Consider the following 16,909-nt stretch of genomic DNA (forward strand, 5'->3'; position numbering starts at 1 on the left):
GCTCATGCCTGTAATCCCAACACTTTGGGAGGCCAAGGTAGAAGGACCACTTGAGGCCAGGAGGTCGAGACCAGCCTGGGCAACATAGTGAAAGCCAGTCCCTACAAAAATAAATAAAATGAGCCAGGTGTAGTAGCATGCACCTGTGGACCCAGCTACTCAGGAGGCTGAGGCAGGAGGATCACTTGAGCCCAGGAGTTCAAGGCTGCATTGAGCTATGATTGTGTCACTGTACTCAAGCCTGGGTGACAGAGCAACACTCTCTCTCAAAACAAAGAGAAAAGAAAGAGGCCCTTGGCTTCCCATCCTGGCTCTGCCACTAACTAGCTTTACAAACACAAGAACATGCCACTCCTGAACCTGTCTGCTAATCTAGAAACAGTTGGGATCAGACCATGTGGTCTCTAAATCCCCTTGTTCCTTATTAAGCTCTAAAAATGAGAAGTCTTAATCTTTTAAAGCTTAATCAATATGGTGACTCTCCTCTTACTACCCAAGGGCAGAGGCAGCCCAGGTATATTTTTAAAAAATCAAACCATGACAGAATGGGGGTCTAATTACAGGAAGAATTCACAGCCCTGAAAAAAAAAAAACAGTTCACAGGAGAAAAGGGGCATGATGTCTTGCCAATGTGGAGAGAGAGGCAGATGATTCTGGTTCACCCCCTGCCCCCGGGATCTTTGAAAGCAAAAAGAACCTCAGTGTTTAGCACTTCTTGGCTACCTTAAGAACAATATCTATTCTTTTAGGATAGATTTTGAATGCTTAGGAATAAAATATGTTGTCAAATTCATCCTGTGAGTGCTGGGGAGGAGGAGTAGATACAGACTGAGTGAGAGTGCCCAAGCTGATGGCCCTTGACGTGGCGTGATGGCACAGGGGAAATCACCACACTATAATTCTGTGTATGGCTTCAATTTTCAATAATAAGTTAAAAAAAAAAAAGACTCTGGTTTCTACTTTGTGATGTGATGATTTCTTCTCATTTGCTTTTTGTTCGAGGTCAGCTACAGAATCATGCAGAACTGTGGCCCCAAAAGCTGCAGGGACAATAGTAACCTGGGTAAGTGACCTACAGGCTCAGGCTCTTAAGACTCCTGTGCAAGGGTGACAAGAGGCATGACCGTCGGCCCACAGCAGACCTGCTGCATGTCACTGGATAGCCAGAATTCCCTTAGACACGTTAAAGAAATGACAGAGTGTATAATGTGAATTAAAAGTTTAAAAAGACAGAAAACCCAATTGCAGAGCCCCAAAAGGGCAGGCAAATTCAATTAAGGGGGGGCCAGATCTCTAGCAGCACTATGCAGAGCAATCCAGCTTTGTGGAACGGCATGGTGGGAGAAGTCAAAGGATAGGTCAAGCCTACTGGTTTGGAGAGGATGATATAAAAACACATCCCCAGAGTCCAGCCCAGTCAGGGAGTCAAGCATGCTTGGAAGGAAGCCAGCAAGGTAGGGAGCTAAAGGAATGCCAGATGAACCCTACATTTGGCTCCTTGCAGGGCCTAAAAGATAAATATTTTAAGGATGAGCAATCACAAGGCAAGCAAAGCATTTTAAAAGCATTTCCCTCTGTATTGGGCTCAAGTGAAAGGAAGTTCTATAGGTGTGTGTTTCAGAACAGCCACTCCAAACTGTCCTCTCGAGGCTCTTACCTTGGTCTGTTTCTTCTCAGTGGCATAGACGATGGAGGTACAACAGACTTCAGCAATCTTCCGGCCCTGACCATAAAAGGACCAGCAGCAGATTTCATCCCCAATAACATCCTTTATGAACAGGACCCTTCCGTTAAAGCGCAGAGACAGCTTATCAAACAGTTCAATGTTTTTCAACATATTGTCGTCAGAATTGCTGCAAAAGAGCATTTGATACGGTGACCACAAGCTGGTAAAAACTGCCATCATTTGCTGGGCCCTTCTACACGCAGGGCCCTACTGAGCCCACTTTCTCCACTACCTCATTTCAACCTCACAATAATCCCATGACAAAGGCACTCCAATCTCCATCACTCAAGAAGGAAAGTGAGGATCAGAGAAATTAGGTAATTGCTCAAGGCTGAACCTAATAAATGGCAGACACGCCCCCCAAAAGACAGCCCTGGCCCCTAAGCCTGAGTGCTCCTAACCATTGTGCTTGAGTGACAGCCTCTGGGCACAGGCACCAGGTGGAGGAGAGCACCTCACCGAGCCCCAAGAGGAGCAGAATGGCACTGCCCAAGGGAGACTCTATATCCTAGGTCTTTTTAAAGATCTTGAGTAACCTGATTAAATCCTCCCTGCATCCCTCAAGTTCCTGAGTTAGAGCCACATGTTTTCAAGGGCCAAATGGCATTCTAGAAACCTGCATATATTGCTGGTGGGAATGTAAAATGGTGCAGCCACTTTAGAAAACAGTTTGGCAGGTCCTCGAATGATTAAACATAGAATTACCACATGACCCAGCAATTCTGTTCCCAGAGAAATGAAAACGTAAGTCCACATAGAGACTTTGCATGAATGTTCATAACAGCATTACACACAATAGCCAAAAAGTGCAAACAACCCAAATGTCCATCAACTGATGAATGGGTAAAGAAAATGTGGTCTACACTGTGGAATATTATTCTGCCATAAAAAGGAATGAAGTATTGATTCATGCTACAACATGGATAAACCTTGAAAACCTCTTAGGTAATCTCATTATGCTGAATGAAGGAATCTGGTCACAAAAGGCCATATATTATGCAATTCCATTCACATAAAAATGTCCAGAACAGGCAAATTCATCAAGACAGAAAACAGATTAGTGGTTACCTAGGGCTGTGGGGTTGGGGAAGCAATGGTTGAGGGAAAATGGGGAGTGACTGCTAACGAATAGAGGGTTTCTTTTCAGGCAGTGAAAAAGTTCTAAAATTAGATAGTCGTTATGGCCTCACAACTTGTGAATATATAAAAACCACATATTGTGAATATAATAATAACTGTACACTCTAGAAAGATGACTTTTATGATATGTGTGAATTATAGCTCAGAGTTATACCCCTGTATCCATCTGTCTACTTATCTATCCAGGCAGAGAGGTACAGAGGGGTCATCCTCATCTGAAGGTACGAAGAAGAGCTGGGCCTGGCTGGTGTGAGTGGAGGTTTTCCTAGTAAATGGAGCTGTCTTTCCCGGCTGACGCCTTACCTGGTATATGAGTATTTGTTGTTACTTCTGTTGTAGAGCAACTTCACGGCTGGCTGTGGGTTGTTTTAAAAGAAGAAGAAGAGAGTTACTTGGCAGGCAGATGCAATGAACTACTAGCTTCCCATAGGGCTGGGGCCCTGCCCTGCATCAGAAGAGGCAGACAAGCATAGCTTGCTGGCTGGAGAGGGGGACCACATGACCCAATAGCAGGGGCACAAAAGATGACCTGTAGCTTCCCACTGTGAACCCATTATCAGGCCTCACTCAGGCAATTATACATGTTTTTATTTCAAAAGTTATTCAGAAGAACCTCCATCATTTCTGGTAGCAAAAGAAATTCCACAAGGGTGCCTCCAACATACCTTATTTGAAGTCGCTATAAGTTTTTGTTCTTCCTTGGATGAGGTGATCACAGGGACCTTGCAGAAAGGCTCATAAGTATCTTTGTTCTGCTGGAACAAAACATGCTTTCAGCCTAGGAGGCCTGCCTAGCACTGCATTTTTAAAGTTGACCGGCTGGACAGGCTCTGGCGAGGGGAGATGGGGCAGTCATGGCTGGGAAGAGAGAAGGATTCTCACCACCAGTGAACTAGATGGGGGAAGACAGGGAGTTGAATTTCCCAGTAAGTCTGCTCTTTGGCTATGACCATGATAGGCCAGGATGCTGAGTAAGTACTAACAATGATGACACATTTTCCACAGCCCAGGAAGCCACTCAAAAATAAACCCTTGACGTGGCAGCAGAAACGTGTTTTAATCAAAAGCTCCTAAAACCCCACTACCATGACTGCAGAGGAATTAAAAAAAAAAGCATAAACCCATAAGGGGAAAAAGAATGGGAGAAGTGAGGTCAGCAGACCAGTAAAAAAAGTCAAAAATTTGAGGGTAGAAAGGTCACAGGTGAGCGTTAACCAAGGAGAGGGGGAAAGCTGAAACCAGTGGGCGGAAGCACTGGAAAGATCCCCAAATCCATCTCCGTCCCCATGCAGGCAGAAGAAAGGGCCATCTTCCTGCAGTGGTTTGCACGGTAGAGGACAGGGCTGAGCTGCGATTCTGAAAACGGGGGGACAAGTGAACATCACACTAAGTGATGAGCAACCCCAGCTCCTTCCCCTTCCAGATCCCCAAAGGCAGCCGGCCAGGCCTAGACCCGTCAGGCAGGAGGAGAGTAGAGGATTCCTCTTCAGGAACACCACCTGCTTCCCCCAAAATGGCTTACAGATTCTGACAGTTGGGGGTCCCGCTGAAAAAGTCTGCCTTATCACCCACAATGCAGCCCAGTGGACAACAAGGACCTTCCATGCACAAACAGCTTTCAGAGTCTCTCATTCCTTCAACAGACAGCCAAGCATCATCAGATTACATGTGAAAAGCCTCTTTAACATGAGAACAAAACCAAAACAAAGACAGGAAAAGAGGAGGAGTCAGATAATGAAGGGAGAAGAAAGAAAACAAACAGAATCATCAGACAGTTGAGAGCAGATACGGCCTCCTAGGAAACAAGATGAGCACGCTGTGGAAAGCAGGGCATTCGGACAGCAAGAAAAGGCTCCTGAAGTTAGAAAGACGAAGCAGAAATGAAAATTTTGATAGAAGGGTTGAAAAGGTGAAAAATAAAACTTCTGAGAAAGTAGAACAAAAGGATAAAGCCAGAGACACTAAGAGGAAAGAATTAGGAGGTCAGTCCTGGAGGTCTAACCTTAGACTAACAGAAACGAGACCCAGGGGCATGTCTCCAAGACAAAGATGAAACAGAACCTCTGATGTGTCTGAACACACCACTATGAGACCGCTGAGAACGTGGGGCTGAAGTAGGAACATATATTTAGAAAACCAAGTGAACAAAACAATGAGGCAATCCCTAACTCTGGCAAACTTAAAGTTATAGAAGAAAGAAAATAATCACTGTACACTCTGTGGCTTAACTGTCAGCCGTATTTACACGTCATGACGTAAACTCTGAATTTAACCAAAACTGTGATGAACTGTACTGGGAGAATGGGAGAAGGAAAAGTATGCCTAAGCTTGGTGGGGGTAGAGGTAGGGGCAGTGCGTGAGCTAAATTCTAGTTTCTATAGTCATGCCAGTAGATAATGTCAAAAACTGGGAATTCAATAAAGAGCAGCACAGGCGAATTATGTGGAAACATAAATGTGAACAGAAAAAACTGCTGAAAGAATTCACAGAGGTTACTGCAAGGGTGAAGGAGAGTAGGAGGGGTATGGTGGTGTTTTGATGTTAACCTTGCAGCACTATTTGACTTCTTGAAGGATGCATGTGCATCACTTTCAACAGTGTAGTAATAATAAAAAAGTAAATGCTGCAACATTCAGTTAGGTCTGCAGTGAGTTCAGACTCTCAGAGTAGAGGTGGTGTGCAGCATTATGGGTACTGGTCCGGTGCGGGGCCAGACACAGACATGTGGTGTGGGGGAGGCCCAAACAAGGGCCTCATGCACACAGACCAGATTCCTACGAAAACCCAAAGGGATGCTTCTGATGCTCTGCCACGTTGCAACTTTGTTTGAAATAAAGGGGTGTTGGCCATGTCTAGAAGCATTTTGTTTTTGTGGGATTTTACTGTCACCAGACCTGACTCCAGTGGTCCTGCTCTGTCTAGCTAAGGAGTGAGGGGTGTCTGTCTGTAGAGATTATGCTGAGCTCCCAACAATGACTTGTGGGACTAGAGTAAGCCCTAAGATTGGTCCCGAACACCGACCAAGTTTCACACCGCGGGGTTCTCTGCTGAAGGGTTGAGATGTACACATGAGAAGATCCAACAGCATGGGGCTGCAAGGAGTGACACAGTAGTTAGGTGGCCTGCTGTTCCAGGGAGGCCTCTCAGGGGTCACTCCAACCGAAGGAATCGGGCTCCAGGGCAAACTCATTAACTCTCACAACATCTCAGTCAGACAGAAACTGCCCCCATTTTGCAGAGAGGGAAAATGAGGAAGGCAGGTAGGCTTGGTGCCTCTCCACCCATATGGGAAGAAAGGGTGATGCCTACTTGTAGGGCCGCCTGGCACTCTTCCACCAGGCCTTGGACTAGGTAGTACTTGGCTTCTGCTAGCAGCTCCTCGATCTCCCGGCGGCTCTCGGGTAAAGGCACCGCCCCGTCTCGAAGGTAGTTGAGTATCGTACCAAAGTGCTTCCCACAGCGGTCAATGAGGATCCAGCCTGCAGAGGGAGGAGGCAGGGGCTGGTTACATGGGCCCTCCTCTTGTGGGAGGCCCTGAGCAGAGCTGGGGTGTCTCTCGGCTCCCTCTACCTCCCAGCGGAGAGCGGGACTGCCTGGAGAATGGCAGCCTCACCTGCCTACCTGCCCACTAAGGGCTGAGGAAGCCCCCACAGCCTCCAGGCCCTACTGGCTGGACACAACCATAACCCCAGGTGACCCTGGTCTGAGGCTCTGTTAGACATCCCGACTCTTGAGGCCCAAAAGTACACTTCTGAAGTACCCTCAAATATCCCTTACACAAGGACATCCAACAGGGGCCTCGTGTACCACACCTGGGTAAAACAGGCCCAAATGGCCACATACCAAGGATAGAAGAAAGCCTTCTGGGTAAAAAATATCTACTTCCTCTTTCCACAAAGCTTCCTTCAAACTGTCACATTAACAGAGCCATTTCTAAGAACGCACAAGTCTCACCCTCGCAGACTGTGACCTCTGACTCCCAAGGCTGAGCCCTAGACACTGACCAGCACCAACACAGGAAGTCCTATCCCACAACTTCCTGCAACAAGCACTTAGTGGCTAGTGAATGACCAAGACAGACCCCACCCTCAGGCAGCTCGGTAAACATGGGGAGACAGAATCAGCTTTTATTGGATATGGAAAAAGGTCCCAAAGCTGACCAAATCCAGGCACTGTGAAACATTCTTGGGGGTGGGGGCCAGGAAGACTCCCTACTCTGCTGCTCAATGTCCTTTCTAATCTTGTCACTGAGCTGACATTCCTCCACCAGAGATCCTGAGGGTTTTCAGAACTCCTCTACTGAAATGCAGTGTCTCTGGGAGTGGTATTTGTAGAAGACAGGACTGGAGCCTAGGAGGAGGAGGTACCAAAAAGGAAGGCAGGAATGGAGCAAAGTCCAAGTATCTCCCAACAGCAAATGTGAAGCTCTAAAAAGAAGCCAGACAGATGAGAGGGTGAAGTCGAGGCCTTCTGACAAGCAGGGTGACCTCAGGCAAGGGGCGTCCCCACGGCTCCTGCCACGCATTACAGGTGGAAAATGCCAGTGCGCAGGGCCGTGAGAAGGCTTCAGTAGGAATCGGTCACTTTATGCTACCACCTTCCTCCCCACTTTGGGAGAAGGGCCAACATTTCCACTCCTAACAACGCTGTGCCCTGTTCCACTCCTAACAATGCTGTGCCCTGTTCCACGTCCTCCTCAGACTGGGCCCTACTGATCCTGGGCCTTGGATCAGTGGCAGAGGCCAGCAAAAGTTGAGAGCAGCAAACGCATCTTTTTCACAATCCAGAGTCTTAAGTCTGCCCGCTTTCCCCTACCCCTTACCTGGCAGGTCCAGTCCCTGCCAAGTGCCCTCTCATGGTTTTAGGGCATAGTTTGGTATTCTTTGCATGAATTGCCAGGAAAGTTTGATAACAGGGCCGTTTCCAGGTTCCCCTGATGAAACAGCTCAGCCTAAAGTTCCTGGGCCTTTTGTTAAAAGAACGGTCTCCACCCTCCAGCGGCTTCCACTTCCTACTTCCGCACTGTTCCAATTTCCTGAGTAGGTGGGAAGAATACCCCAAGTGGGGGGAAATGCAATACAAATGTATAGCCCTGAGTCAACTCCTGGTTTCAGGGAAGAAAGAGGCCTTCCCAGGCATGGTAAATCACATCACCCTGACAGTGACCTGCAAATGTGATCCCACCCCACTTCTTTCTACATCTGAGAAAACAAAATATGGAATTAATATCTTATGCAACCCAGATGCCTCCAGGGCCAGTAAGCACAATAAATGAGTGCAGCTGGGCGGGGCTGAGGCTGGGGCTGACAGGACAGCATCTGCCCTGCCCCCAAGAGAGGCAGGCTCTTCCCACTCCAGCCAAGAGTGGCCAGGCAGGAATGTGGGCCCAAGAGCTGTGAGCTCTGATGTTCCATGCAATGCCAGAAACCCAGATTTTTCTGTGAATTCCCTGATTTTTAAAGGACGGTAAACTAATTAAAACAAAACAAAACTGTCATCAACCCACCACAAGGCAAACAAAACACATCTGCAGTTGAACTGGGCCTGCAGGCTACCAGCTTGAGGCCTCTGTGCTACCCTACACCAAGTAATTTTTTCTCAGAAGGCTGACAAGGCAGGGAAAGACCGTATTATCTTTCTACCAGTTCTTTTTTGAGGGGAGCTCATTCCCTTGCATTTTCCACAAATAAAACAGAGGCTCAGAGAGGTGCAGTGCCATTCCCAAGCAGAGGCAGCAGGACTAGACCACAAAGAAAAAGTAAGGCACTCATAGGAAAACTCCTTTCACCAGAATTGAAAAGATAAATAGAATTCAACTCAGCTGCGCAGGGAAGGAACCTTCCACGTTCTGCCTTTGATGTCTGCAGAACTCAGCTGCTTGGGAAGACCCAGGGCCCTGAAATCAATTATCCAAATGACAGCCCAGAGTTCCCATAAATGAACAGGCAGACCGTGACACTGGGCTCCGGCTCAAGAATGCCGTCAGGAAATGCTTGTGGCGAAAGAATCATACTTTGGACAAATAAGGGCAAGGGAGCCAGGCACACTCTCCAGGAGGTTTCAATCAGCGTTTTGACTTTAAGATACTGTGGTTGCTTTCAAAGCAGGAAGTGATCCCTTTGAAAGTCAGCTCAAATGCCTAGCACGTAGAAAGACAAATGGAAGTCAAGCAGCTCCTCGCATGTGGGGGGTCTCTCTCCTGCTGCCACGGGGCACGAGAGCTATTTAGGAAGGCTGTCCAAAGTCAGGGCAGCCTGGGATCCCAGACCCATTAGGCAAGGCTGGAGAGCAGAACTGACCGGGACCACACTGGGCAGCACTGGACTTGGGCTCCAGGACGTCCTCAGCACAGCACAGCAGTTAAGTGTTGGAAACCCAGCTCTGATACCTTCTTGCTGGATGACATTGGTGCTTCAATTAACCTCTGTCTAGCAGTTTTCTCTTCTACAAACGATCTCACAGGGTTGACATAAAAATATGATGAAAGAACGTACAGAAGGCACACAGCACAATGCTGGGTCTACCAACAGCACTCAAAAGCAGCTATGGGTCTTTAACAATCTCATCTTTCATCATTATTGCTGGAAGCAGAGCAGCAGCGTCCAGAGGCAGCAAGTTCCAGCCCCCAGGATGGAGTTGGTGTTGCTTTCAGGGACCCAAGGGAGGAGAAGGCTGCTCTGGGGGTCAGGAGGATTGGGCCACTAGGCTCCCCTCCTCCCCGCCCCGTGAGCATACCATGTGCTTCCTCTCTCCCTGGATGTCTGACCTCTCCTTTCCCCTCTCCCACCACCTCCAGGGAACCTTCACTGACCTCTCTTTGCCATCCTAAGGTATTTATACTCTATATTTTTGTGGTTCCCAAACACCCCTGATCATAAATGCCACCCAAGGTACTTGTGAAAAATTCAGATTCTAGCAACCTGCCTCATTCCTGATCAGAATCCCTAGGGCAGGGTCTCCAACCTGAGCACTTTGACATTTTGGACCAGATAATTCTTAGTTGTAAGAGGCTGCCCCGCACATTGTAGGGTATTTAGTTGCATCCCTGGCCTCTACTCACTTGACGCCAGGAGCACCATCATCCCCAAGAAACAACAAAAATGTCTCTGGACATTGCTAAATATCCCAAAAAATCACCCATTGGTTTGGGCATCACTGAGGTAGATCAAGGATGTAAGTGTAAAAAAGCGATTTAAACTCTGAGGTTTCCAAAAGCCCCATTAAAAAAGCTCAGACAAGTCAGACTGGGAGAAGATATTTGCAGCACTGGACCCCAAAGAAACAGGATCCAGTATATGAACTTTTGCAAAGTAATAAGAAAAAGGCAAATGTGTAAGTAAGATGCAATCAAGCAGTTAAAAGATTAAACTCAAAAGAGCAATACACATAAAAACATGCTCAACGTACCAGACATTAGGAAATACTGAATAAAACAAGGTACCATATCATACTCACCAGATTTGCAATAATTAAAAGGTTGGACAGTGCCAAGGGTTGGCAAAAATCCAGACTTCTGCAGGGAGTAGAAGTTGCCATAACCACTCCAGAAGGGACTCCTGCAATATCTAAGGAAGTAGAAGATGCTGTCCCAATTCCCCTCCTGGGAATAAACTCTAGGGCTGAGCTCCCAACAGTGGGTAAGATCTTAAAGCCATAGCCCTTGAGATGGCTGGGTGGGATCTAGGGAGTCCAGAGCCCCCTCATTTGCCAAAGTGAAAATATGATTGTCTACGTGCCCCATGATGTGGCAAAGGCTGGGCAGCATCGCACAGAGAAACTCCCACGCACGGGGAAAGCGTTCAAGGATGTTCACATTCGTCACAGTGAACACCGCAAACCCTCTACATGATCATCAACAGAATATGGCTCCGGCAGCGGCTGTATGCTTCTAGAATGGACACTCTACCACCGGAAAATGTCTGAACGAGAGCTATTTAGTTGTGGATTGATCTCACAAGCATAATGCTACGTAAGCAAAAGCAAAACATACAAACTGTACAGCACCATTTACATCACGTTTAAAAACACACCAACAGCGCCTTGTTTAGGGACATGCACAGCTATAGTAAGAGTAATACCTGGAAAGATGGACACTTGTGGTTCTCAATGCTGGTTGCACACTAGAATCACCCAGAGAGCTCTTCAAAGTCCTACTGCCTGGGCCACACCCTGGCTGGGACCCAGGCACCAGTACTGACCTCCTCAGGTGACTCCCTCTGTAGCCAAGCTTGAGATCCACCTGGTGACCCCAAATGCTTACCTTTGGAAGGGAGAGGGACAAACAGAGAAGGCACAAAGGGGCCCCACAGGTACAGGTCATACTTTATGCCTGGGCTGAGCCTGGTGGCACAGGTGAGTTTGTTGTATTATTCACAATTTAAAAGCTCTCAGGTACTTCAGAATTTTACCAAAGAGCATTGTCATGGAAGGCAGAAGGGCTGGAGATCTCAGGGAAACCCCCAGGAACTGCAGTTTTCCCATGGATCAGACTGGACTTCCCAGTTTTCTAGGGGAATGTGCGATCACAAAATGAATGACTCTTCAATCTAGTGTACGCACTAATTCCAAAATACATTAGCAAGACATCAGAAAACCTACAATAGGGGGAAGTATTGTACGAAGCAACAGGGATGAAACAGACCACTACAGGCAAATGCTGAACAGAATGCATTGTGAAAGGTGCTACCTACATCCGTGGACCAATGGCAATGCTGACAAGGAGTCAGGTGAAAATTCTAGCATTGTGGGAACTGAACCTTTCCGGGAAGAGTCTGGAAAGGGCATGCTCACTGCCACAGTGTCCTTGTCTTCTCAGAAAAGCCATCCCTTGGGGGTAGTGTGGAACTGCAGCACACTCATCCCTGAAGGCCAAGGCAGGCAGCCTCTCCCGACATGCTGCTAAGACCTGCTTCTCTGTAGCCCCTCAGCAACACTCATCCCCCCAACATTTACACTCAGAACAAAAGCCATAATTGACAGTTCCCATTTACTGAGTTCTCCCAACATCTCAGGCCCTGTGGCAAGCGCTTTCTCATGTCCTCACTCAATCCCCAACTCTGCAAAACATTATCATTCATAACTGGGGAAGGAGGAAAGAGGTTCAGAGAAAAAGCCACTTGTCCAATGTCACATGACCAGTAAATGGCAAATAGGCCAAAATTAGCACAACATGTAGACAGAGCTCCACAAATGTCGGCTGTGACTGTGACATGCAGCAGAGCCAGGTGTTGAACCCAGGCCTGGCTAACATCAACATCCAAGTTCTTCTTGGTTTAGGAGTTACTTGCACACAGTACAAAACTCAATCAGGTAGAAGGGCCCAGAGCAAAAAGGAGACTATTCCCCCCATGCTGGATGCCAGGTCCCCTCTCCTGAAGCAATCACTTTCTTGGGCAACATGACACATCCCCTGTTCAGGACCTTCAAAGCCCCTGTCCTTTAACCAGCAAGCTGTACTGCTGGATTCACTGCCTGGCTGAGCTGCACTTGGCATTTCTGCCTATTTGTAGCAAACTTCATTGCAGCTGACAGGCTTCCAGCCTGTAGGCCAGGGTAGAGCTGCAGGATGCAGGGAGTCTATCCCAGTTTGTAGACCCAAGGGTGCATTTGAGGCAACATGCAGGCCATGGGTCAGGCTATGCAGTGCTCTCTCCAAGGACCGACAGGATCGCTCTGCCAGACACAGACAACAGCTGGAAGGCCAGATACCCAGCCTACCAGCCCAGGCCTTCACGAGGGCCCCCACCAGAGGGCTTTAGCACAAAGACAGCAGTTAAACCATAAGGATGCCACACTCAAATGATCTGGCCTTGGACCAGGCCCACAACTAGCCATGGACAGCAGACAGTAAGAGGCAGCAAGTCCTGGGTTCAGCAGCTTCACCTTTTCTAGTCCCATCAGCTTTTGAAAAAGCATTTCACCTCTGAAATGGGGACTCCTCACTTGGAATGGCAACAACAGTATCCACCCCTCGAAGGGTTATGGTGAGGATTAAATGAAACAATACCCATCGGCTGTGCGTGGTGGCTCACGCCTGTAATCCCAGCATTTTGGGAGGCTGAGGTGAGAGGATGGCTTGAGCCCAGGAGTTCGAGGCCAGCCTGGGCAACATAGTGAGGCCCCATCTCCAGAAAAAAATTCTAAAAATTAGCTGTGTTTGGTGGTGCATGCCTGTATTCCCAGCTACACAGAAGGCTGAGGCGGGAGGATTGCTTGAACCCAGGAGATGGAGGCTGCCGTGAGCTATGATGGCCCTAGTGCACTTCAGCCTGGGTGACAGAGAAAGACCCTGTCTCAAAAAAAGAGAAAAGAATGCCCCATAAAATGCCATACCATTAGCTTTTCATAATGATATGAAGCAGGGGCTGAGCTCCGGTGACATGAAACAAGTCACAGTTTGCAGTGTCAAAATGACACTGTGTCCCCCGAGAACCTGTGTTTTCCAGGCAGCACCAGGAGAAAAACATCTCATAGCAGGGATTTAGAAGGTGAGCAGTCCTGCCAGTACCACTCGTATGCTCTGTCCAGTCGGGGACAGGGGGACAGAGGAGTCCGTTTCTTTTTTGATATGGCATCAGGCCACCAAGGCGAGGCCTTTCGAGGAGAAGAGCCTCAGCTTTCGAGGCAACTCAGCAGCCTTTCCTGAGCCCCTCCAGAGAGTGGGTAGGGTATGAGAAAAACCACAACAATCCTGGTTCTCAGATAATGCCTGCTTCCTCCAGCAGCGGGGGTGCTATTGTCTTGATTTCCACAGATACTCTCGGGCCATGTGGGGTGTGGCACAGCAAAGAGGATCCTCCCACTCATAAAAAGCTAAGTGTGAGATGGCAGCTTTGGGGCTCCAACCTCAGTTCGCTGCTGCCTGAACAGAAACCGGAGTTCACAGGAAGCAGAACCTCCAGCCCCACACCCTGGCCTTCCCCAGGACACAGAGAGGAATGTCCTCACCAGTGGGTAGCCCAAGCCTCAGCCCTCTTAGGATCAGAGAATTAACTGTGGGACACCAGGCTTAGGTCCCCCAATCCCACCCGCTTATGTGAAAACTCACCCACCCTCCCAAGTCAATGTCCCTGGAAAGGTAGGGCAGCAGCACAGAAGACCAGTCTCAGAAACAGGAAGGCGGGGTCAAGGTCAAGCCAGGCTGTGCCCTGGCCTGGTCTTAAGCAATCTCAGGCCAAGGAATGAAGGATGGTACTATTTTTAAACCTCATGTGACCTGCACGCAAACCCAGCCAGGTAAGGATGGAGCCCTGTTGTCAGGGGCTCTTTGATCATTCCAGGTGAGTAGGAAGTAGTTATGACAATGCCCCTCTCAACAATTCTTTGCCTTTTTTTTTTTTTTTTTGAGACGGAGTCTCGCTCTGTCGCCCAGGCTGGAGTGCAGTGGCGCGATCTCAGCTCACTGCAAGCTCCGCCTCCCGAGTTCACGTCATTCTCCTGCCTCAGCCTCCCGAGTAGCTGGGACTACAGGCACCCACCACCACGCCCGGCTAATTTTTTGTATTTTTAGTAGAGATGGGGTTTCACCTTGTTAGCCAGGATGGTCTCGATCTCCTGACCTCGTGATCCGCCCGCCTCAGCTTCCCAAAGTGCTGGGATTACATGCATGAGCCACTGTGCCCAGCCGATTCTTTGCCTTTTAATAACATGACTTTCCACAAGAAAAAGAAAAACGTGTGTGTGTGTGTGTATATCTATCTATCTATCTACACACACACATATACACACATGCACTGAATACTGACTATGTGCCGATGGCCCCACGGGGGAGGGTATTGTCATGCCCATTTCACCAGAGGAAGAAAATGAGACCAAAAGCTTCGGCCACTTGGTTAGGATCACCAGATACTAATGGGGAGCTGAGACTGAAACCCAGGTTGGCAAGTCTTTGTCAAGACCCCATCTTGGGAGGACAAGGGTCCAGGGAAGATACCTCTCTCTCCCCCAGGCTTGAGTTTCACTCTGAAGTCACAGAAGCATGGCAGAGATAAGCAAGCTAAGCCCTGGGTGAGGAAGTGACTTTCTCAAAGTAACATAGCAAATCAACGACCAAGTCAAGATGGTGGGAGTCCCCAACAAGCTGCCTCCTACACATCTTCAGGTCTCGACTTAAATGTCACTTCTTCAGGGAAGCCCTCCTTGACCACATAACGCATGGCCAGAGGCAGGCACATGGTGGGTGAGCTTACCTTCACTGTCGGTGAGCACTTCCATGCGCCCGCTGAACATGGCCTTCAGCATGGTGTCCTGCTTGGTCAGCGTCTGCATGGTGGTATAGTAGAGGGCTCCACCCACATTCAGCTTCACGTATTTGGAGCTGGGGCTCGTGCCCTTGAAGGAAGTGGTGCGGGTAGCAGCCGCTGGCACCGCTGAGCTCACCACACTTTCTCCTGACATCTCTTCCTGCCAGTGGAGAGGATACAGGGTCATGACATCAGGCCTGGTTGACTGCTTTCAGCCTGTGGATTCAATCTGGCCTCCAGATGTGTTTTGCTTGGGCCACGCATACACAGCATTTAAAAGTTTGCTTCCAATGTGGACAACTAAGGAGAGCTCACAGAAAAATCTGGACTTCTGGCTTCTCCTAAAATCAGAGGCCAACTGGGCTAGCAGGGGAACAACTGGTCAGAGCTGGGGTATTGGATGACCCCTAGAGAGGGCCATGCATCCCCTAGTTTGTCCCAAAACCCACCCAAAAAGCCTCATACACTGACCCTGCCTGTCGACCCTGCAGGCACAAGGGTGCCCCTAACTCTTGTGTTATAAGCACTTCCTTTCTGCCTAGCACCTGTATACATGAACACCCTGGCTGCACCCTAAAACAGCCTAAAGCACTGCCCAGGTCTCTTTACATTTCCTTATTGCCATGTACCACTCAATAGCTAGCTAAGTGTCATTTTTCAGCTGCATCACAGATGAAATAAGCTTTATGAAGTTGAATGGGATTCCAGCTGGCACTCCTATCACTTCCTGTAGGGAGAAGGTGTTTCTGAGGACTAAACAACAGACATGGAAACTTTTGGAACCAAGTTATTGCAAAATTAGACCTCCTAGACTAGTGCTGCCCAAAAGAGCAAGATCCCACTACCATCTCCCTGATAGCATGGCTGACTCTCTGTACATCTCAAAGAAATGGATACAGTGGCTGATTTACGCAGGCCTGGAAAGTGAGATTGGTATCCGGCACATGTGTACTCAGAGCAAACATGTCTGAAATGAACAGGTAAAACTGTAGAGGTGGAGATGTGCAAGGGTGGGCAGAATCTTTGCTGAATCTGGGGTAGCCCCCACGGCTGGCCCTACCATTCCCATTGAACATCAACAGTTTTTCACAGCACATCACCCTCAGACAAGGCCACTCTGTGCCCTTGCGACAAGACAAAAACAGGACCATTCAGTCATCATGTCCGGACACAGACAAAAACATAAACATTATCCAAAATACAAAAATGACCAAAGATCCCCTATCCTGGCTAATAGGAGTTATAGCTGCTGCTTTACCAATGAGAGGTTTAGCCTCCTTCCATTCTTCCTGCTTTCAAGTCAGGAATCACTGAGACCCAATCACAGAATTAGCCCTGCTTCCCAGCAGCATCCAACACAGAGCAAAGCCCCACTTCTCTGAACTGTCTCTCAAATCACCCAACACAAGCCCACAGCCCTTCTCTGAGATGTCCCACAGTTCTTCCCCACCCCAATGCAACAAGGAAATAAACCCAACTTTGCTTGACTACAGGTATGCTCCTCGTGCTTTTTGGCTGCAGGGCACTGACAGCACATAACTTGTTTGAACTATTCCCTGAAACTGAAAAAGAATTGTCTAGCTTTTCCAGATTTTCTATAATGAATGGGTACTACAACTATAACTGGTAAAACACAAACGTTATTTTTGTAAATGGGACTGGGAGTAAAGGGAGGCAGCTTGCAACAGCAGAAGCAACGCGACAGTCATGGACAATATTCAATTCAAGGTTATCCAACTCTTCTGGCCAACTCTCCCCAACTCCATGGCACCCAACAGTGGCCTGGATATCACCTGCCATG

General features: G+C 48.3%; 1 protein-coding gene across 7 annotated transcripts in view, besides 4 other annotated features; it reads right to left on the reverse strand.

Annotated features, from left to right (window-relative positions):
• KCTD10 (potassium channel tetramerization domain containing 10) overlaps positions 1 to 16,909 on the reverse strand; it is a 28,646-nt gene that overhangs the window by 5,806 nt on the left and 5,931 nt on the right. For 2 of the 7 annotated variants that reach the window (NM_031954.5, XM_047429638.1), the window contains exons 2-6: positions 15,055 to 15,268; positions 6,176 to 6,345; positions 3,532 to 3,618; positions 3,170 to 3,222; positions 1,658 to 1,853 (exon numbers count right to left, since the gene is read on the reverse strand). In NM_031954.5, coding sequence (NP_114160.1) covers positions 1,658 to 1,853; positions 3,170 to 3,222; positions 3,532 to 3,618; positions 6,176 to 6,345; positions 15,055 to 15,268 — 720 coding nt within the window. Of the gene's footprint in view, positions 1 to 1,657; positions 1,854 to 3,169; positions 3,223 to 3,531; positions 3,622 to 6,175; positions 6,346 to 15,054; positions 15,269 to 16,909 lie in introns of all 7 variants that reach the window. The other 5 variants (NM_001317395.2, XM_047429637.1, NM_001317399.2 and 2 more) reach the window with 4 other exon arrangements.
• Positions 4,066 to 4,871: an enhancer, noted in NCBI's record as "OCT4-NANOG-H3K27ac-H3K4me1 hESC enhancer chr12:109896331-109897136 (GRCh37/hg19 assembly coordinates)". NCBI's record gives its function as "activates a minimal SCP1, AML or CMV promoter by ChIP-STARR-seq in naive H9 embryonic stem cells {active_cell/tissue: H9 hESC(naive)}" and the evidence as "EXISTENCE:reporter gene assay evidence [ECO:0000049][PMID:30033119]".
• Positions 5,679 to 6,484: an enhancer, noted in NCBI's record as "H3K27ac-H3K4me1 hESC enhancer chr12:109897944-109898749 (GRCh37/hg19 assembly coordinates)". NCBI's record gives its function as "activates a minimal SCP1, AML or CMV promoter by ChIP-STARR-seq in naive H9 embryonic stem cells {active_cell/tissue: H9 hESC(naive)}" and the evidence as "EXISTENCE:reporter gene assay evidence [ECO:0000049][PMID:30033119]".
• Positions 6,485 to 7,291: an enhancer, noted in NCBI's record as "H3K27ac-H3K4me1 hESC enhancer chr12:109898750-109899556 (GRCh37/hg19 assembly coordinates)". NCBI's record gives its function as "activates a minimal SCP1, AML or CMV promoter by ChIP-STARR-seq in naive H9 embryonic stem cells {active_cell/tissue: H9 hESC(naive)}" and the evidence as "EXISTENCE:reporter gene assay evidence [ECO:0000049][PMID:30033119]".
• Positions 8,098 to 8,904: an enhancer, noted in NCBI's record as "NANOG-H3K27ac-H3K4me1 hESC enhancer chr12:109900363-109901169 (GRCh37/hg19 assembly coordinates)". NCBI's record gives its function as "activates a minimal SCP1, AML or CMV promoter by ChIP-STARR-seq in primed H9 embryonic stem cells {active_cell/tissue: H9 hESC(primed)}" and the evidence as "EXISTENCE:reporter gene assay evidence [ECO:0000049][PMID:30033119]".

The sequence above is a fragment of the Homo sapiens genome, chromosome 12 (genome assembly GCF_000001405.40).
Source record: "Homo sapiens chromosome 12, GRCh38.p14 Primary Assembly".
Taxonomy (NCBI): domain Eukaryota; kingdom Metazoa; phylum Chordata; class Mammalia; order Primates; family Hominidae; genus Homo; species Homo sapiens.